The sequence below is a fragment of the Homo sapiens genome, chromosome 5 (genome assembly GCF_000001405.40).
Source record: "Homo sapiens chromosome 5, GRCh38.p14 Primary Assembly".
NCBI lineage: Eukaryota > Metazoa > Chordata > Mammalia > Primates > Hominidae > Homo > Homo sapiens.
This window is the reverse complement of record NC_000005.10, coordinates 139048902-139070927: the sequence shown is the minus strand read 5'-3', so window position 1 is coordinate 139070927 and position 22026 is coordinate 139048902. Positions and strand designations below refer to the sequence as shown.

The 22026-nt window shown below is 43.2% G+C and overlaps 1 protein-coding gene across 5 annotated transcripts in view; it reads left to right on the top strand.

Annotated features, from left to right (window-relative positions):
• Positions 1–22026, top strand: part of SIL1 (SIL1 nucleotide exchange factor) — a 251645-nt gene that overhangs the window by 127441 nt on the left and 102178 nt on the right. For all 5 annotated transcript variants that reach the window (NM_022464.5, NM_001037633.2, XM_011543570.3 and 2 more), the window contains one exon: positions 19882–19990. In NM_022464.5, the coding sequence (NP_071909.1) occupies positions 19882–19990 (109 nt within the window). The remainder of the gene's footprint in view (positions 1–19881; positions 19991–22026) is intronic.

Genomic DNA, 22026 nt, shown 5'->3' with positions numbered 1-22026 from the left:
TTTTTTATTTTTAGCTGCACTACTTTTATAAAGAGGTATTTCCCCATATATATTATTTTGTTACTCAGTGGTAAAATTCATACAGGAAAGACAGGATAAATGTTTGGTTCTTTTTTCCTTATTTACCAGTTTTCAAGATAATGAGTTGATCCTCTGAAGATGACCAATTAAGATGTTTTTTTTCCCTTTACAAACTCACAGGTTCAAAGCATATTTTATGGGCTTTAATTCATTGTAATTATTACTTTTATTGAAGTTGAAATTGTTTGATTTTTGGTCAGTTGAAGGTTTTCAAATGAGTTCTTTTCATGTTACTCTAATAGTCTTTGATAGTTTTCTTGCTGTCTGGTTTGACAAGATATTCTAAGCTCGTCTTGTACATTTCCTTCCCAGGACTGGAATTAGCTGTTTCTCTAAGAAGTTTTAAGACTACATTCTGGCCATTAGGTCGCTCATTACTGCTGTGTTGGTCATTGTTTCTAGGCCTTTTCTGTTGACAAGAGATAGGAAATATATGTTATAATCCTCATACATTCAAGTGGGTACTGCCTATTCATATTCCGGCTGGCAGGGTTTTTATTTAATCTCTTCGATATTACATCTGCCTCTTTTTTTCCCACACCGAGAGTCCTGATTCTGGACACAGGGGATTATACAATTAGAATATGTAATAATTTTACTGATTTGATCTGTCTCATTTTGTACATGCAACAGTTTCAGAATGGCAGTAATACTATCCCTGATATGATTACTGAAAATAGTTTAAAACATTTTTTTGTGTGTGCTCTCATTGTTCTTAACCAGCTGTGTTGTATGTATATTCTCAGAGTAGCCATTATATACTTCCTTTTTAGCCCTTATTTAAGGCATTTATACAAATAACTATATATGTAATGTTTACCGCCGGTCTTACTTATTTTCATTGTCTGGGATGTATTTTCTAGTAAATTCTTCAGGAAGAGCCCATCGAAACAGTAATCTCTGTGTTTTTGTATGTTAACTTTGTCAGTGTTCTTTACATCCCAAAGCACTTTGGTAGGATATAAAATCCTTGGCTCACATTTTCTTTCTTTGAGTACTTCATCTTCTGCTGGCAGTAGGCTTTGCTGTTAAAAATGCTGATGACAATCTAATTTTCTTTATAAGTTACTTGCTGATTTTTGCTTATATGCCCAAGTGATCTTTCCTTTGCCTTTAAAATCCAATTATTTTACTAGAATATGCCTTACTGTTGGACATCCCTGGTCAGTATTCTTAGGTATACAGTGTGTTATTTCAATACATAGTTTTAAGTATTTTTTTCATTTCAGGAAAGCTTTCTTGAATTATAATTCTTTTTTGTTGCTCGTTTTTATGTGAAATTAGATTTCTTGAGCTTTTAAAAAGAAACATGGTTTTTGGTATTCTGTTTGCTTGTTTAGGGTTTCTTATATTTATGTTGGGTCTTCTTTTGTCTTTCTTCATTGTTTATTAGTTTGTTACAAACCTTACTTTTTCCATTTCTGTTTGGTTTTTCCAACTTTCCTCCTTTTCATGTTCTATTTATCTTAAGGCATTTTCTGTTGTGATTATTTGTTCTTTTATTTCTGATTCTTCATTGAGTTCTAGCACCTCATTTCTTTTTATTTAATTTTTTTTTAGAGGCAGAATCTCGCTCTGTTACCCAGGCTGGAGTGCAGTGGTGCTATCATAGCTCACTGCAATCTTGAGCTCCTGGGCTCAAGTGATCCTCCCACCTCAGCCTCCCAAGTAGCTGGGACTGCAGGTGCATGCCACCATTCCTGACTGACTTTTTTATTTTTAGTAAAGATGAGGTCTTGCTGTGTTACCTGGGCTGATCCTGAAATCCTGGTTGCCCAGGCTGGTCTCAAACTCCTGGCCTCAAGTGATCCTGCTGCCTCAGCTTCTCAAAGTGCTGGGATTACAGGTGTGAGTCACCATACACAGCCTCTAGCACCTCATTTCTGATTTTTGTTATTGAGTATCTTGTACCATTTAACAAATGTCTTTAGTGCATTTTGAAACAGGAAGTTACAGTTTTTATATGTTTGTGGCCATGTCTTTCTGGCTTACTTTCATTGTATGTAGGGATGTTATTCTTTTCTTTCTTCTTCTTTTTATTATAATTTTATTGTATAGGATTGTACCATAATACTTTCTATTGCTCATTTTTATGTGAAATTAGGTTTCTTGAACTTTTAGAAAAAAGCATGGCTTTAATTACCTTTTCTAAATCCATAGTGCTTTCTCTTCTTTTTTTTTTTTTTTTTTTCCTTTTCATTCTGAGTCAAGCTTGAGAAAGTTTTCTCTTCTCTTGTTTTCAGGTAGTGTTCAAAAACATGGCAGCTTGCTTTATGAGGTTTCCTGGCTCTGTTTTACTCCTCCAGTTTTATCTGGACTCTGTTTCCTTTATTTCTGTCGTCCAAGTCTACTCAGTTTTGATTTCACTTCTAGCCGTATTTTCTCAGTGTGGGGCCCTGTCCTGGTAGGGAGCACTGGTTAATTTTGAGAGTTCAGGGGACTAGACAGCTGTGGCCCCTTGAAGTCCTACCCCAGACTTCTTGTCCTTGTCCACTGTTAGACATAGGTTCACTTGCTGTTACCCATTGGCCCACTATAATTTTTAGTGAATGCCTATCAGCTACTTAGGTGTTTTCTTGTTCTTAGGTCTCTCAGCCAACTTGTTGCTTCCCAATACCTTTGCACTTGGTTTTGATAGAAATGTTGCTCATGGGTTTAGTTTTGCTCTCTAGTCAGTCTGTTTTTATGTGAGGATTTGGTAGATTAGACGACGTTGCTTTTGCCACATTAACATATGTTCTTTAAAAAGAAAGATGAAATCATATATATGCAACTTATTTTTGCTTAGTTTTAGTGATCTTGTTTATGTCAGTACAAAGCTCCCTCTTTTTTGTTGAAGACTAATATATTCCATTGAAGGGATATGCTGTATTGTGTAACAAATCCCCTACTGATGGACATTTGTATTGCTTCTCATTGTTTACAATTATTAGAATGCTATAGTGAACACTCTATCCATATATCATTGTGCACTTCTGTGAACATTTCTATTAGATAAATTCCTAGACATAGCATCTGCTGGGTCAAATGGAATGAACAGTTACAGTTTTGATAGATGTTGCCAGATGCCCAAAAGCCTTGCACTAATTTATCCTTACCTACAGTTATTAGGATGCCGGTTGCTGCAAGGCCTTGCCATTATTGGCCCAGAGGCTCTTCAAGGTATGAGTGTTTATGTATGTGTTTTGAGAGTGATTTACAGTTTTCTCTAAGAAACTCATGAGACCTATGGACCTTTTTAGAAAAATGTAAATGTGTACTTAAAACTTTCACATATAATCTCAGAGGCTTCACCAGCTGGTCTCTAGTAATATTGTTCTTATTCTTGTTTTCCTAACCACCAACCACTTCTGCTTGATGAACTAGGAAATACTTGAATGTTTAAGGATAAAGAGCAGTTGTAGAGCTATGACCAATAGTTCATCAAATCCTGTTATCAGAGGTGATAATACTCTGAAGCCCATGATAAAGTCTGATGTGTGTGGTTTAGTAGTAGTTAAGAACTAAACAACACTTCTATCCCATTCTATTTTGATGCTTGCTTGTTTCTGTCTTTGCAATTCTCAGTCTTTGTATCTTTCTCTTATTTTCCTTGTGGGTTGAGGAGTGATGCTGTGGAATTAAAATACATTTAAAAATAAGAAGTTTATTTTCCCCTTATCCCAAGTTAAAGGCTATCTTTGCAACATCCTTCTGCCCCACATTTCAGAAAGAGGAAATTGTTTTTCTTTCCATAATGCTCACTCATCTTTGTTTTAGAACATATACACAATGGACATTCGCTATGTACCAAGCACTCTGTTCAGCAATGCAGGGAATATAAAGATGTTCTGACTTCAAGAATAATACAATCTATTGGGGAAAACTTGGCAAGTATTATAATTTTTATGGATTTGTTTCCCTCACTAGACCAGTGATCTCTTCAAGAGTAGAGAGGCAACATGGCGAAACCCTGTCTGTACAAAAATACAAAAATTATCTGGGTGTGGTGTGCATGCTTGTAGTCCCAGGTACCAGGGAGGCTGAGGTGGGATGATCACTCGAGCCTGGGAGGTCAAGGCTGCAGTGAGCCGTGATCATACCACTGCACCCCAGCGTGGGCAACAGAGTGAGACCCTGTCTCAAAAAAATAATAAATAAAAGTAAAGTAAAAAGAGTAGAGAGGCCATGTCTCACTTTTAATTTTCCTAAAACCTGGCACATAGTAGATGGTCAGTAAATGTCTGTTTAATGATTAACAAGAAGCCAAATGACTAAGAGAAAATGAATAGAGGAAGTGTCATTAGAAAAGAATAAGCAAGGCACTAGAGATTGAAAGGATGGAAAGATAATGTATAAAACTGCATGGAGTTGTTGCTCAAGCTAGCCTATTAAAAAATGGACTGTCACTTGAGCTTGGGAGGTCAAGGCTGCAGTGAGCTGTGACTGCACCACTGTACTCCAGCCTGGGTGGCAGAGCAAGACTCCATCTCAAAAAAAAAAAGCATTGAAATTTGACAGGCAAAAAGCAAGGAAAGAGATGGCATTAAGGACTAAGAAAAGCATAGGGGGAGTTTAGCCAGAGCGTGGGGTAGCTGTGGATGAGGGGCGATAAGGCAGAGAATATCAGCAAGGATTTCATTAGGTTAGGCAGGCCTTGAACACCATGAGATAGTATTATTGGTACTTCGGAGGGCAGCAGGGAGCCACTGAAGGCTTGTAAGAAGGAGAGTGCCAACAAGCCTGTCCTGGGGGATGCTGTACTTAACTGCAGTGGCACAAGGAGGGAACATTTATCTTTTCAGTGGGGGCTGGGTCTCATGATCTCCTGAAGTTCTTTCTAGCTCAGAATGCTGAGGTCCTGAAGTTATGAGGGATTTGCCTTCTCTTTTATAAATCTGAAATGGAAGTTTGAAAGAGGATATCAGAGAGATGACTTGTTGGGAGACGACTTCTGTCAAAAGTGATCCAGACCACAAGTAGTCAGTAGGGCCTGAATCTGCCTATGAATAGGAGGGAGCACCAAGGCCAGAGGTTCCATATACTTCTGCCTGGGTACTTGGAGAAGACTCAGGAGTGTATAGTGGGTAGAGTGTTTCTCATCAAGTGACAGCACAGAGTTCCCATTAGTTGCCCAGGATTGGGTGTATGGGGGTGCAGTTGGGGGCAGCATCAGCTGTTGTGAAGGTGGGGTGGAGGTGTGAGGCAGGCTGCTTGTTGGAAGTGTGCACAGCAGCAGCTTTGCTGGAGCACCAACCTTGTGTGCATTGGCCTAGAACATCCAGGCCTCCTTGCCCATGCTTGGGTGGGCACCTGTCAGCACAGCCCTCTGAGGAGCAGAAACCCAGAGCAGGGTAGCTGCTTTTATAAGCTCTTTGGTGCATTGTTGCAAAACTGGCTTAAGTTTGTGACTGAGCTAAGTTTATCAGGAAACCTGAAGCCCTTCTTCCTTGTTGCCAGCTGGCAGTTGTGCTCCTTTAAATCCTCCCCACATTTGCTTCAGTTTTGCTGCTGGATATGGCCTCTTTGATTTCTATTCTGATGTCTTGGGGAGTGAGACAGAGACTGACCCATCTTAAGTGGGTTTGGTGGCCTGCAGGTTGGCTGAGCCAAGGAAAGCTGTAGTGGGTGTTTTCGATGTGGTACAGGCTAAGTTTAAACAGCTCATTTGCTGCCCTCTCAGTTTGGATGCCCCGCAGCCCTCATTGTTACTGAATTTTTTGCAGCCTTAACAAGACAGCCTGACATGAATATTCTAAAAAATCATGTACTCTTCTTTCCTCTGCAGAACTCAATCAAGTATGTATTGAGAGCCGATTAACACTCAGTTTGAGCATCTATCATGGCATGGCCCTGGTCTTTTTCTCATAGCTGGGAAAACTGAACAAGTCACAGAGAGGCAAGAGCCAGGCAGAGAACATTATTGAGAACTCTCTGGTGTCAGCTCTGAGCATCTCCTATGCATGATCTCTTATTCCTGGCAGTGAACCCTGTGAGCCCTGTGAAGTGGGTACTCTGATGCCCATTCTGCAGATGAGTCATAGGTGTTATTTGCTCAAGGTCTCAGAGCTATTAAGTGGTGGAACTGGACCTGGAACCAGATCTTCCTGAGTCTGTGCCCTCTGCCACCAGCTGAACAATTGCCTAGGTCATCCGAGTGCTAAAGGCTGCAATTCCTTCTAGTGAAACCAGCAATACAAGTGAAGAAAGCAAAGCACAACACTACTTAGTAGGTCTCTCAATACCAACGATCCAAAACTTTAAACTAAAAGGCAGAAAATTTGGATTGTCATTACACTTTGACAGGTGAAAGGAGGCTCAGGTGAATAACCTCGTTTTGTTAAAGTTGCCTATATTTAAGGAGGGTGGGCTCCCCCAATGGGAGGTGGACAAGGACTTAGGACCAGTTGTTTATATGACTGCCGTCTCTGCACTGTACCTGTTGCTCCATCTGCCTCTTCTCCCACTCTGATTGTCATTTTCACCTCCCTGATCCCTGCACACACCACCCCACAACAATAAATAGAATGATGTGGAGTCCCATCCTTTAGAGCTGGTCTAGAGAGAAATTCTACCCTAAGAATTTTGCTGCAGGCATCCCTATGGATTTTTTTCCCCTTTTCATTGCTGGGAGTATCCAAACTGAGGGGCTTTTGTGGCAGGGCCACTAGGGAAATTGTAGAAGTCAGTAGTAGCTGATACTGGTCTGAAATAATTCATAGAACCATATTTGTCTGTGGAGGTAACAGGTGCTGTAAACGAGAACAATAAGAGCCAATTATGATGACAGGATTCCTGGGGACTGATAGGGTACGGGGAAAAAAGGATTAAAAATTGAAGTACAATATCTTGGCACTTTGCTTTTTTAACCCTTTTATTCAATCATGACTTCTGTTTGAGGAAAATAAATGAGAACAAAGGGTATGTTTAGAATACAATCTCTGTTTTAAATTTGACTAATGAGTGGTTTTAGCACTTTCATTTGGGTCTCAGTCAACCTGTATTCAGAGTGTCAATTAACCAATAAATATTATGAAAAACAAGAGTCAGAAATGGTTGCACCACTCCTGCTAATGAGCTGCTAATGAAATTGTACCTGGGTGGGAAATGCAGGCACTCTGGAATCCTCAAGAGTCTTCTCCAGAAAATGAGCAGTAGTGGTGCTAAGGCCTCTGGGAAACAGACACATTTAACTCCTTCACTTCCAATTTGTTTCCCTCCTTATTATGAAGTAAAGCTCATTATCAGTATCTCAGGGTTAACTTCAATTATAGTGAGAATTTAAAAAAATGTATTTTTGACTCAGTAATTTCCAAGTGGGATTAGAGAGCCGGAAGAGCTATAGCCATGCTGTGGTATACTCCCAACTGCCTGACCTTTGGTTTCTTGGAGGAACATGGGAGACATTGAGGGTAGAGATCAAAGGGGAGTGGAGGCATCAACTAGCTAGGAAACAGGTGTGAGATGCCCAGGATGGGTCTCCACATGAAAGTGGCCCCCTTTAGCCCCAGTTTTCTTTATTCCATCCCTGGATTTATTAAATTTGGGGGCTGTGGTAGGCCCCCTAGGCTGGTGGAAGGAGTGAGTAACTGCACATGCTTAAAGGTCTGATGCTTTTCTCAGTAGGAGGGCTGGCAGGGCCACAACAAGATTCCTAGTTTTTCTGGTCAAAATACTATCATCCTTTACTGCTGTCTCAATCTTCATTTCCTACCCATTCCTCTGGGTCAGGGTTTATTATGTCTGATTAGGACAATGATAACAGCCTGCCAAGTGGCCTCCCTGCTTCTTGTCTGCCTGTTTTATATGCTGAGCTCCAGGTGCTTCATATGGAGTTCCTCATTGCTTGCTTGAAAGCTGTTCTCTGGACTTGGAAATCTAAGTGTTGCTACTTCTCTCCCCATTTATGTCATACTTCTCAATGGCAGGCATTGGTCTTGTTCACTTCCCAGTATACTTCCCAGTGCCCAACACAGCAGTGGCCCTTTGTGGGCACATGGTAAGCTGTGGCAGAAGGAATGCCTGGAAAAGAGCAGACTCTTGCCCAGTCCTCAGGAGATGCTTGTGGACTAGCCACTTATGGAAAGAGGCTCACCATGTCCTAAATGTGGTTACTTTGAGCCTTGTGCTGATGATGGTTCAAGGTACCTCTCTCACTAGAACACAGGAAATCTAAGTAGCATTGATAGTCCTTGTCTGTGGAAAGCGTTACTCTTGTGAATTCTGTGTAGAATGGTTGGTCACCAGCTGTAGTTTGTCCTCCTTGAGGACTGGAAAGGAGACATGGGTTAGGGTGCTGTGGATGAGATTTTGGAGGGTAGTGGGGTAGTGGTGCAAGGGTATGGTGGGAGCTGTCAGGGTAGCTGTTCCCTGGGGGAAACTGGCGTCTTTTTTTCTGAGCGGCTTTCATGCAGCTTGGGGATTTCTACCCTTGCCTGGAAGCCATGCTGGGTAACTCTTCTAAGACCCGGCCCAGATTCTAGATTCTCTGTGATTCAGAGTAAAAATACATTTGGAGAATATTCCTATTTTTCTCAGTTTGTCATTGTTTAGTCCTTCTAAAAAATACATAAATATGACTATGATCCAGAATGGCTCATTATGTATTTTGCTGTTTAAAAAAAAGGTCTCCATTTTTGGTTCCCTTAAAAACACAATAACATTAAGTGTTGTTTCAGGGTTCAGCACCCTAGAGAGGTTTGTGCACGTTATTTGTTACTGGTTCCGTTCAAGTCCTGGAGACAGGATAGATGCTCATTTGTGTAAGGCAGGGATCTTGCCAAGACTTGTTCGGGGGTTTTGAATAAAGAAGCAGGAGGAGAGGGCTTTAGTAGTCATGGCAACTGGGCCTGTAAAGCCTCAGCTCTGACCAGCCCTATTAGGAGCTTGGAGGCCCCAGCGAGGTGAGTGGCATTGCTTCCTGTTCTATATTTTTGTATTCCTTTTGGTCTGGGGAAGAGGGAGCTGGCATTCAAGCTGACCTTTATGGAGGCCTACTGTGTGCCTTGAGCTGAGCTTGAGCTGTGGGCACCAATAATTGGTTCCTGCCCTTCAGAAACTCAGCATAACCGGGAGTTTTTACTCTTAACACCTACCTGTAGGACTTGACAAATAAGCTGTCTTTGCTTCATCCGGGTTGACATTTACCTTTTTGGGTTGTTTTTGGGACTGCTTTTTCTGGTGTACTTTTTATTTCTTCTGAGCACTGACACAGTTCTTTTTTCATTTGTTCTTCACAACAATGTAGCACATTAGGGAAAACAGACACGATAAATTCTTTTCAGTTGACACATAAGGGCATGAAGATTCAGAAACATAAAGGAATTTGGCTAGAGTCACCCAGCCAACAAAGATAGCCAAGTGAGGAGCAGAGTCCCAGGGCTTGCGGCATGGCCAGCCGGGGCAGCCTCTGGCTTTCTGCCATTGTGTCCACGTATGACTGGAAGTCCCTGGAGCAGGAAGTTTCCAGGCAGGAGCCTATGGAGGACATCCTGTCCTTTTCACCCCTCCTGAAGTCCCATAACTACCAAAGCTCTTAATGCCAAGGCAGACCCAAGAGCACCATGCATTCATTCCAGTTGGCCTGTCTTCGTTGAAGCAGGGCAGCCAGGCTCCACAGCAACCTCACTGTGGGCACCACCTGAGCAGGCCCTGTCACTGGGAGTCCAGGAGGGACAAGTTTCTAAGCACTGGACACTGGGATGAGTTGGGGCAAAGACAGAGCCAGGTATAATTTGTTAATAGGTAAAACTATCATTTCAGCAGTTACAAACTGGCCATATGTTTTGTTTGCCTTTTCTGTATTTAAGGTGGAATACTTTTAGAAGGGGCATTTTTCACAGCCCTCACCATTCATGTTTTCTTACAGATGAACCTCCTCACTCTCTTGCCTCCTGCCTCCTGTGGGCATTTGACATGGCTCCTACCTCCTGATCACTATTTCTTACCTGTCCTTCTGCCAGGGTTCCTCTTGTCCTGGTGCTTCATGGCCTCAGGCTTCCTAGGCTAATTTTCCCCTTCCTAACGTTCCAAGAACTTCATTCCTGGGTCTGTGTCTAGGCCCTGAGCCTTAGTTCTCTTTCCTGGCCCCTAGAAATATTTACTGTCACATTGAACTGTGTCTGATAGACTAATTGCTGTTCAAGGATTTAAAAAGAGATGGTGGAGGAATATATTTCTACAACCACTTTATCGAGATATAATTTATATACTATCCAATTCACCTATTTAAAGTGTACAATGGGAATAATTCTCAAATGTCCTAGGGAAGATTGGTAGAATGGAGAGGTGGTTTCTAGGCTATGGTGTTTTATGGACCAGAAAAACTTAAAAAAAAAAAAAAAATTGGAGGACTAAGGCCAACTTTTTATTTTGCTGAGTTAAGGGCCTTAACATGGAAACAACACACTATCTACTATCATTATCTCATCTTTTAAAAGGACATTTTAACACAAAAAAGCAACTATATAATTTCAGAAAAAACTGTTATTTATATTGGGCACTTTTAATTTCTTGTTTCGGGACCATTGGAATGAATGCCACAATAAACACCTCAAATCCTGGTGGCTTAAAAAAACAGTAACTATACAAAAAAAAAGTATGTAAGAGAACAGAACACTGTTCTTTTTTATAGCTCCGACTCTTAGAACCACAGTAATAGTTCACATACTCTTCATAGGCTCACCAAATAAACAGTTAAGCCAATCAGGATATGGAGGGGCAGGAGCCATAAAATGGAATACAAATACTAACAAATGAACCAAGTATTACTAATTAATAACATAACCTTAATGAATTGGACAGGGAAGAACTAACCCAAGTGACTTTGTGAAGCAATATTTTGACCAGGTACTGTAAAGCTAAAAACAGAACTGTACATACATGCTGTAATCTAGTTTGGTAAATGTATTTCTCACAGGGATATGGGTTAACAGTTTTGAAACTAGTTTATTTGTATACTAGAACAAAAATATATTGTAGATAATAAGAGCAGGTTTCTCAGTGTTAGAGAAAGAAGTTATAAATAAGTAAAGTGAGAAGACAAATGAGCCCGTGTATTAGATTGGAATCTGAACTATCAGTATAAACTTGTAGTTTTAAAAATATATACAGATAAATAGATATAGAAATATAGATGTGTGGATATATACACACAACAATAATATAGCAAGAAATATAGGTGTGTGCATGTATATAGATGTCTGTATGTATATATATTGTACATCTGTTGATGTCCTCTTTTGTTACTTTTGGCACAGATTATTAGAGAAAGTGAACTCAGTGTCCCTTAAACATTAATGATTGATGATTACATGGAGGGCCTGAATGTTATTCTAAATCATATATGTATATGTGGTTTAGAATATATGTAATATAATATTCTAAGCTGTATATATTAGTTTCCATGCTGCTAATAAAGACATACCTGAGACTGGGTAATTTATAAAGGAAAGAGGTTTAATGGACTCACAGTTCCACATGGCCGGTGGGGCCTTACAATCATGGTGGAAGGTGAATGAGTAGCAAAGTCATGTCTTTACATGGCAGCAGGAAAGAGAGCGTGTGCAGGGGAACTGCCCTTTATAAAACCATCAGATCTCCTGAGGCTTATTCACCATCACAGGAACAGCACAGGAAAGACCCACCCCCATGATTTAATTACCTCCTACCAGGTGGCTCCCATGACATGTGGGAATTAAGGGAGCTACAATTCAAGATGAGATTTAAGTGGAGACACAGCCAAACCTTATCACCACATATATATATACAAATGTATGTATGTCTATGTGTGTGTGTACATATACATATATATAATTAACATTTGTGTGTGTATATATAATTTGTATTGTTTATAAATTACCCAGTCTAAGGTATTTTGTTACACACACACACACACATACACATTTCTAGCTCCGCCTACTGAGAGGGCTTAGAAATACCAACACCCTAGTATTAATGAACACACCTAGCATCCAGATCTTGGCTTCTAAACACTGTTCTCCAATTGAAAAAAGAAAAAAGAAAGAAAAAGAAAAAAAACTAGGGCTCGTTAGAAGTGGCTGATTCCAGGGCTGGGGAAATGAAAATACAAGATGAACCTGGAACATCTTATGGAACCAGAAAGTAAGGAAATACTTTTAAAAAGAAAATGATGGTGGGGAGGAAGGGTTTTTCAAAGGAATGTAAGAGCCAACCTGAAGGCACTTCTGATTGCTAAGGCTGAAACAATTTGAGTAACAAAATAAATAATAATAGTGTTGGACCCATAGAATAAAATATCCATGAGTTCATACTCATACAAATAATTAGAGGAGTGACAATTTTTTCTTGGAGTGAAATAAATCCCAATTAATAAATGTGTAAAGAAGGAGGGAAGTAGCAAATTCCCATTAGATGATTACCACAGTGGTAAATGTTGCAGATGGATTCCTCTAATGGCATGCAATGGTTTTTAGAGTCAAGGGATGGATTTGTATAATCTGAAAGTATTTCCCCCATGATTTTTTTCTTGGTAATTTGGTGTTTTTTTTTTTAGTTTACCCACAGTGTTGTGCAATTACTGCCACTGTCTAACTCCAGACCACGAGTGGTCAATCCTCATTCCTTCCTTCCCACAGCCCCTGACAGCCATTAATCTACGGTTTCTATGGATTTGCCTATTCTGTACATTTCATGTAAAAGTAATCATATGATACATGCTTTTTTGTATCTGGCTTTCACTTAGCACAATGTTTTCAAGGTTCATCAATGTTGTAGGATGTAGCAGTATTTATTGCTCCTTTTAATGGTGAATAATATTATATGGATATACTACTTTTATTAATTCATTTATCACATGATGGACATTTGGGTTGTCCCCTGATACCCAGTATGATAGTATTAGAAGGTGGGGCCTTTAGGAGGTGATGAGGTCATGAGAGTTCCACGCCTCATGAATAGGATTAGTGAAGAGGCTTGAGGGTGCCTCCTGGCCCCTTCCACCATGTGAAAACACTTAGAAGGCACCTTCTGTGAGGAACAGGCTCTCACCAGACACTGAAACTGCTGGTGTGATCTTGGACTTCCCAGTCTCCAGAATTGTGAGCAATAAATTTGTATTGTTTATAAATTACCCAGTCTAAGTTACTCTGTTATAGGATTCCTAATGGACTAGGACACACTCTAAGACAGCCATTAAAGCAGATGCTTTTGGTTCCCTGCCCATACTTCCTGGGATCTCCTTTTCCTATAGGGGGTGTTTCTTCCCCAGCCTCTGTGGGGGTTCAAGACTCACTCTTGCCACCTGTTCCTGGACCCCTCTGAGGAGCCAAAGCTTCTTTGCCCAGAGCTTCTGCCTCCACCTGCTCTGGTAGCCTGCGGCCTCTGACTGCCAGGAGGGGGCAGGTGGGGGTACAAAGTCCTCCCTGCCTCCTCATTTCCTGTCAACTGGAGAGCACCCCTTAATAAACCATGTGCACATGAAGCCCTGACTTGTTTCTTCTCCGTGGGTGTCTCATCCTTCTTGGACCAGAAGGCTAGCAGTGATGTTCTTTTCTTTTCTTTTTTTTTTTTTTATTGATCATTCTTGGGTGTTTCTCGCAGAGGGGGATTTGGCTGGGTCATAGGACAATAGTGGAGGGAAGGTCAGCAGATAAACAAGTGAACAAAGGTCTCTGGTTTTCCTAGGCAGAGGACTCTGCGGCCTTCCGCAGTGTTTGTGTCCCTGGGTACTTGAGATTAGGGAGTGGTGATGACTCTTAACGAGCATGCTGCCTTCAAGCATCTGTTTAACAAAGCACATCTTGCAGCGCCCTTAATCCATTTAACCCTGAGTGGACACAGCACATGTTTCAGAGAGCACAGGGTTGGGGGTAAGGTCACCCATCAACAGGATCCCAAGGCAGAAGAATTTTTCTTAGTACAGAACAAAATGAAAAGTCTCCCATGTCTACTTCTTTCTACACAGACACGGCAACCATCCGATTTCTCAATCTTTTCCCCACCTTTCCCCCCTTTCTATTCCACAAAACCGCCATTGTCATCATGGCCCGTTCTCAATGAGCTGTTGGGTACACCTCCCAGACGGGGTGGTGGCCGGGCAGAGGGGCTCCTCACTTCCCAGTAGGGGCGGGCAGGCAGAGGCGCCCCTCACCTCCCGGGCGGGGCGGCTGGCCGGGCGGGGGGCTGACGCCCCCACCTCCCTCCCGGACGGGGCGGCTGGCCAGGCGGGGGGCTGACCCCCCCACCTCCCTCCTTGATGGGGCGGCTGGCCGGGCGGGGGGCTGACCCCCCCACCTCCCTCCCGGACGGGGCGGCTGGCCGGTCGGGGGGCTGACCCCCCCACCTCCCTCCCGGACGGGGCGGCTGGCCTGGCGGGGGGCTGACCCCCACCTCCCTCCCGGACGGGGTGGCTGCCGGGCGGAGACGCTCCTCACTTCCCAGACGGGGTGGCTGCCGGGCGGAGGGGCTCCTCACTTCTCAGTCGGGGTGGTTGTGGGGCAGAGGGTCTCCTCACTTCTCAGACGGGTTGGCCGGGCAGAGATGCTCCTCACCTCCCAGACGGGGCGGCAGGGCAGAGGCGCTCCCCACATCTCAGACGATGGGCGGCCGGGCAGAGACGCTCCTCACTTCCTAGATGGGATGGCGGCCGGGAAGAGGCGCTCCTCACTTCCTAGATGGGATGGCGGCCGGGCAGAGACGCTCCTCACTTTCCAGACTGGGCAGCCAGGCAGAGGGGCTCCTCACATCCCAGACGATGGGTGGCCAAGCAGAGACGCTCCTCACTTCCCAGACGGGGTGGCGGCCGGGCAGAGGCTGCAATCTCGGCACTTTGGGAGGCCAAGGCAGGCGGCTGGGAGGTGGAGGTTGTAGCGAGCCGAGATCACGCCACTGCACTCCAGCCTGGGCACCATTGAGCACTGAGTGAAGGAGACTCTGTCTGCAATCCCGGCACTTCGGGAGGTCGAGGCTGGCGGATCACTCGCGGTTAGGAGCTGGAGACTGGCCCGGCCAACACAGTGAAACCCCGTCTCCACCAAAAAAATACGAAAACCAGTCAGGCGTGGCGGCGCGTGCCTGCAATCGCAGGCACTCGGCAGGCTGAGGCAGGAGAATCAGGCAGGGAGGTTGCAGTGAGCCGAGATGGCAGCAGTACAGTCCAGCTTCGGCTAGGCATCAGAGGGAGACCGTGGAAAGAGAGGGAGAGGGAGACCGTGGGGAGAGGGAGAGGGAGACCGTGGGGAGAGGGAGAGGGGGAGAGGGGGAGAGGGGGAGAGGGAGAGGGAGAGGGAGAGGGAGAGTCAGTGATGTTCTTTTCATGACAATAGCAGAACATGATACAACCATGCAAGCACATTTCAAACATCTGTTTGCGGCCCATTTGCTAGCATCCCACTGGCCAATGCATGTGATAAGCAAAATCCAAAGTCAAGGTGTGAGAAGGCACACTCTGCAGTAGGAGGAACTGTAAAGTCACATGGCAGAGAGTGTGACAAGCAGGGAGGAAAAAAATTGGTGACGATGTTGCAGTCTACCATAGATTATCCCCCAACCCAGAAAACAAGAGTTGTTATCTGGGTCCTGGCCTGTGACTGAAGTCAGTGACAGTGTCAGTGGGAGTCAAAATTCAAGCATGAGGTGGCCTTACTCAATATGGACAGGGCTTCTGCTTAATATGGATGGGTTTTCTAGGCTAGGATAGTCAGCCTTGGGATCAGCTCTGAAGGAGCTGGAGGTGGGAAAACAGACACTGTAGGCTTTGCAGGCCTGTTTGCCTTCCTGGATCCAGACATTATTTTCTGCCTGTACCCTTGCTCTCCATCCCCCTAACTTGTTACCTGTATGTATCTTGTTTTCTCTTTGCTCTGATTTGCCCTTCCCCTGTGTTCTGGTACATTTTCATCTGTCACAGGGGCTCTCGAAGGATACAGGTCAGATTATACTATCTTTCTAACTTGGACATTTCCCCAGTGGAGAAGTATTTGAAATACTGCATTTCCTGTTGCTTTTGCCACTGCTGCTGCCATGACGTGTTTAGTATATTTTAAATGAACACAACCTGTATTTTGAGTTAATGCTGTTGTGGTTGCTCTTGCCCCCTGTGGTGGCTTATGTGAAGGGAGTAATTTTGGAATTTTCATCAAAATAACTAGATTCACATAAGAACCTAGTCTCTTCTTTGGCGAGCTTAGCACACTATAACCTATTACTTCTGAAGCTTATACACTTACATGCTTTTTTCTTTTCCATTTCTAACTTTGGTCAAAAGTTTGAAAATTTTAAATACTATTTTTATTATATTACTAGTATTAGTACCATTATTACTAAAAATAACTATTAACATGACTAATTACTATTATAACTCAACCTGCCCTAGTAAAAATCCTTCTTGGCCTTTCCATATAACTCTAGATCAGCTAGGAATTCCCTCTTTCTTTTAAACATTTTCACTTAACAAATAATTATTATTTTTTTAATTTAGAGACAAGTTCTCACTCTGTTGCCCAGGCTAGAGTGCAGTGGCATGATCATAGCCCATTGCTGCCTTGAACTCCTGAGCTCAGGCAATCTTCCCACCTCAGACTTCAAGTGGCTAGGACTATAGGAGCATGCCATTGTGCCTGGCTAATTTTTTTATTTTAATTTTTTTGTACAGACGGGGTCTCACTGTGTTGCCCAACCCATGGCCTCAAGTGATCCACTTGCCTTGGCCTCCCAAAGTGCTGGAATTACAGGTGTGAGCCACCACACTCAGCTAATTTTAAATTATTTTCTAGAGATGGGATCTCATTGTGTTGCTCAGGCTGGTCTCTAACTCCTGGGCTCAGGTGATCCCCTCGTCTCAGCCTCCCAAAGTGCTGGGACTATAGGCAAGGGCCTCCTCACTTGACCAACAAATAATTATTGAGAGTTCACTATATGCCAGCCAGGTCATGTTATAGGCCCTGAGGATAAAATGGTGAGCATTTATATTCACTACATAAATAAAAAAACTAATGTGTAATTACTGATTGTGGTGAGTGCTATAAAGGATTCATGGTGCTGTGAAATCTTTTGGAGGCAGGTAAATCTAGTCTGAGAAAATAGAGGATGCCTTTCAGAAGAAGTGACTTTAGCTGGGATTGGAAGGATGAGGAGATGGAGGCTGAGGGTGGGAAGACTCTTCTGGACAAAGGGAACAGCAGATGGAATGGCCCCCTGGTAGGAGGTAGCATGGTTCTTTCAGAAGGATGGAAAAAGACCAGTGTGCCTAGAGCACAGGAATGAGGAGTGGACAAGGCTGGAGAGGTAGGCTGGGGCCAGATACTGCAGGGCCTCATGGACCAGGGTGAGGATTTTCATTTTTATCCTCAGAATAGTAGGAAGCCATGAAAAGGTTTGAAGCAGGAGAATGACATAGGTTTGGTATTTTGGAAAAGAAAAATCATTCGCTTTAAAGAACAGTTTGATTGGGAGGTGAATCGGGGAGGCCAGTTAGAAAGCTGTGATAGGGCGCAGATCAGAGATGGTGATGGTTCAGACAAAAGCAGTGGGGGAAGATGGAGAGAAGAGTATGCATTCAAGACATACATAGCAGGAAAAATCAACCAGTTTGGGAGGTAGATTGGGTATCAATGTGGTAGAGTAAAGGGGGCTGGCATTTTAGCATTCATCCAGGAAGAGACTATTGTCTTGTTTAGCATTCATCCAGGAAGGGACTATTGTCTTGTTTAGCATTCATCCAGGAAGGGACTATTGTCTTGTCAGTTTGGGATCTCTCCAGGTGAGGCAGCCTCTCCCCTTCACACATTCAGAGATTAGATTAGTACTAAAGAAATTACCTCTTGCCCTGTGATCATAGTAATAGGATAGAAGTTGCCAGTTCTTTGTTATTCTTGCCAGTATTCAGCCTCCTCTCCTCCCAGAACCATCTTCCGCCGCTGTTTGATGAATATTTTCCCATCCTAGGAATATGAACCCAGGCTTCCTGGTGGTACCAAGCCAGCAGCCCCCACAGCCCTTCCAGTTAGTTCTGTGGCCTAGTCTCTCCTCAGCTTCTGTGGCCTATTGGGTTCCGTGTCAGTGCATTTGCACATGGGGCTTCCTTACTCTGGTATTCCCTTTATTCCTAGTCTGGGACTCGCTTTTTTCTTCATTTGACCCCAACTTTATCAGGAGGGCCACCCCAGAGAAGGATTTTTCCACTGCGCTCTGAACTTTTTTTTTTGAGACGGAGTCTTGCACTGTTGCCCAGGCTGGAGTGCAGTGGCGTGATCTTGGCTTACTGCAACCTCCACCATTCAGGTTCAAGCAGTTCTCCTGCCTCAGCCTCCCAAGTAGCTGAGATTACAGGTTCCTGCCACCACACTTGGCTAATTTTTGTATTTTTAGTAGAGATGGGGTTTCACCATTTGCCAAGGCTGGTCTCGAACTCCTGACCTCAGGTGATCCACCTGCCTTGGCCTCCCAAAGTGTGAGCAACCATGCCTGGCCTGAATGTATTTTTTATCCTTGAAAATAATGGTTGGGGTTAGAGGGAGATCATTATGCACATACTTCTATATACTGTATGTAGGTTCCCATTTTTTAAAGTAAAACATACAGAAACTCCCTACTGAAGTGGGACGGCAGGAACAGCAACAGCATGGTGTGCGATATCCCTGGCATCTTGATTGGGGATAGAGTGACTGGTGGAACTCAGAGTTCTCTATGGGCCTCCCAGAATTGCGAGAACTGGTGAATACTTGCCTATATCATTATCCTTCTATACTTGAGTTTACCTGATTATTTGAGAGAACTTGTGCTGTGTGCTTCCTTCGGAGGAATTTTTTCTGAAAGTCATTGATTTGGGTTCTTAAATCAAACTTAACACCAGCAAGGCAATGCTGTCCTCTGGCAGGAGAAAGCAGAGTCAAAGTCCAGGTTGTCAGAAGCACCATCTTTGCTTCAAATCTCCCATCTCCTGAAAAACCTTTTCCCTGAAATTCTCCATCCCTACAGCAGTTTCATGAATGAATGAATGTGTGTAGCATTCCATTTGTAGTATGTGCTACTGCACAGTTGCTTTTTAACTATACTTGAGTAGTTTTGTGCAGTGCATAGGAATAGCCCATCGATTCACAACACTTGTTTTTCCCAGCTGTGGATCAGCTCCATAGATAGGTGGGTGTAGGTTTTCAGTTTCTCTTGGCTCCACTCCCTGCCTCCTTGGCTTGCTCTGTCCTCTTGCCTTCCAGTCTCTTCCTTCTTCCTTTTCATAACGTTAAGTGCCACACTTTTATGTGCCAAGCCCTGGCCTAAGGGCTGGGAAATCAAAAAGGAGGAAATACAGTCCCTGTGCTTAGGAAGGAGAGAGCCTCATAGAAGGAGCCTAATTAAACAGATGCAGGTGGTGAGGTGTAAGCTTGCTGGGATGGCAGGCTGTCTGGGGCCCTGTGGGACTGACTGTCGAGGAGGGGCAGGAAGGGTGTCATGGAAGAGACGGTAAAGTAGCATGTCCTGAGGAATGAGTAGTTATCTACCACTTACCTGCTGCACGTAACACAAAGCTTTTATTAGCTCAAGAAGACATAGAAGAGCTTAAATATGCAGGTTCTAACTGGGGGACATTGGTCTCTAGATTCAAGTGTGAATCCTCTTGCCCATCTTACGTCATTCCCTTACAGATTTCCTTATAGATTAGCAAAGTGAGTTTATGCGAGTGGTGTGTGTGTTCAAGGGAGAGGGATGGGTGGATTGAGGAGGTAACTGAACACAGCTGAGTCGTGTCTTCATGAACTAGTAAGTCCTGTTGGCTTGCTGGCCATCCCGACAGCCTTCCAAAGACCTTGTACCTCATGAGCCTTTTCTCTTCTTGGCTTTTAGGGCAGGCTGTCCCTGCAGGATCCCACGTACGGCTGAATCTTCAGACTGGGGAAAGAGAGGCAAAACTCCAATATGAGGACAAGTTCCGAAATAATTTGAAAGGCAAAAGGTACAGTGTCAACCCTAGGGACTGGGAGGCTAAGTGATAACGTTGATTTTGTATTGTAATACTTAAAATGTTACCCAAATTCATGTGGCTTTTTTTAATTTGAAATTTAATAGCATAGAATTTGTGATAAATCTGTCAGGGTTTTATGAAAGTTTACTTCTACAGTCTTTGGAAAGAGATAGTTTGCAAAGCAAATTGATACTTTAAAAAAGGCTGTAGGGGGAATGCTTAACCTGCTTTAAAAATGAAACTATTTTTCCCAGTACTTTAAGAGCACCCATTTGAATCCCAACAATTAATGCACTGATTACAGATGAGTCATCTATTCATTAAAACAGGCCTGTTAGGCCTTCTGCTTTGCAGTAATACTTCCTTGGTGAACAATAAAATTGCATTTTAAAGTCTTTAATTCAGGCTAACTTTTCCTCTCATTAGTCAGTATTAAAACAGGCCTTCTTATAGTATAAAAGTAGAAGCTACTGCCATTCTCCACTGGCTAGAGGTTGCCTTATTTCTCAATAACCAGGTTATATTATTCAATTTTAGAGAATTCAGTGTCACTATTTTTCTTTTGTTGCCTTGAATTAGCATGCTTTCTTTGCTTGATATTTCCTGAATGAGGGGGAAGGAGGTTGAGGCATGGAGTTGCAGGGGTTGCTGAAATTGTGCATTTTGAAAGCTCAGTAGAAATACCAGCCATGAAATTTCTAACACAGGGACCAGCAAATTATGGCCTGTGGGCCTTATTGGGACTGCTCCCTGCTTTGGTTCAGCCTGCAAGTGAAATTGGTTTTTACATTTCTTAAAGGTTGGAAAAAAATCAAAAGGTAGTATTTCATGACTCATGAAAATGTATGAAATTCAGATTTAAATGTCCATAAATAAAGTTTTAATGGGACACAGCCATGCTCATTTGTTTACATATTGTCTATGGCTGCTTTCTTGCTACAATGACAGAGTTGATTAATTGGGACAGACACCATATGGATCACAGAGCCTAAAATAGTATCCAGTCATTACAGACAGTTTGCTGACCCTGTGCTAACACGTGTAAGCACTGGGAATTATTAGTTATGGATTGAGTGTGGTTAGTGTTACTCAGTCCTTGGATGATGATGATGATGATTTTTTTTTTTTTTTTTTTAGAGATAGGGTCTTGCTCTGTTGCCTAGGCTGGAGTAAAGTGGTGTGATCATAGTTCACTGTAACCTCAAACTCCTGGGCTCAAGCAATCTCATTGTCTCAACCTCCTGAGTAGGCTGGGGCTACAGGTGTGTGCCACTATGCCTGGCTAATTTTTTTAAATTTTTTTGTAGAGACAGGGTCTCACTTTATTGCTCAGGCTGGTCTTAAACTCCTGGACTCAAGTGATCTTCCTGCCCTGGCCTCCCAAAGTGCTGGGATAACAGATGTGGACCACTGTGCCCAGCCTGGATTTTATAATTTAAACAGTATTTTGCAGGTCGGGCGTGGTGGCTCACACCTGTAATCCCAGCACTTTGGGAGGCCGAGGCCGGCGGATCACCTAAGGTCAGCAGTTCGAGACCAGCCTGGCCAACATGATGAAACCCTGTCTCTACTAAAAATACAAACAAAAATTAGCTGGGTGTGGTGGCAGGTGCCTGTAATCCCAGATACTCAGAAGGCTGAGGCAGAAGAATCGCTTGAACCTGGGAGGCAGAAATTGCAATGAGCCAAGATCTTGCCACAGCACTCCAGCCTGGGTGGCAGAGCGAGACTCTGTCTCAGAAAAACTAAAACAAAAACCCAGTATTTTGCAGTTAGATGTAATCAGAAGGAGGTCCTAGAGACTCACTTCTTACCCTAGTCTTTTCCTTGACATGCCTGTCAGAAGGTCACTCAGCTGGTCCATGTGCACTTTTTTCAGGTGGCACTCACCCCACAAAACAGCCTGTTCAGATTTAGACAGTTTTCACTGTTAGAAAATTCTACTTCATATTGAGATAGAGGCATTTGTTCTCCTTACAGTCACTCCAAATTGGGAAGGATCTTTCATCTTCCCTCATTCCTCCAGG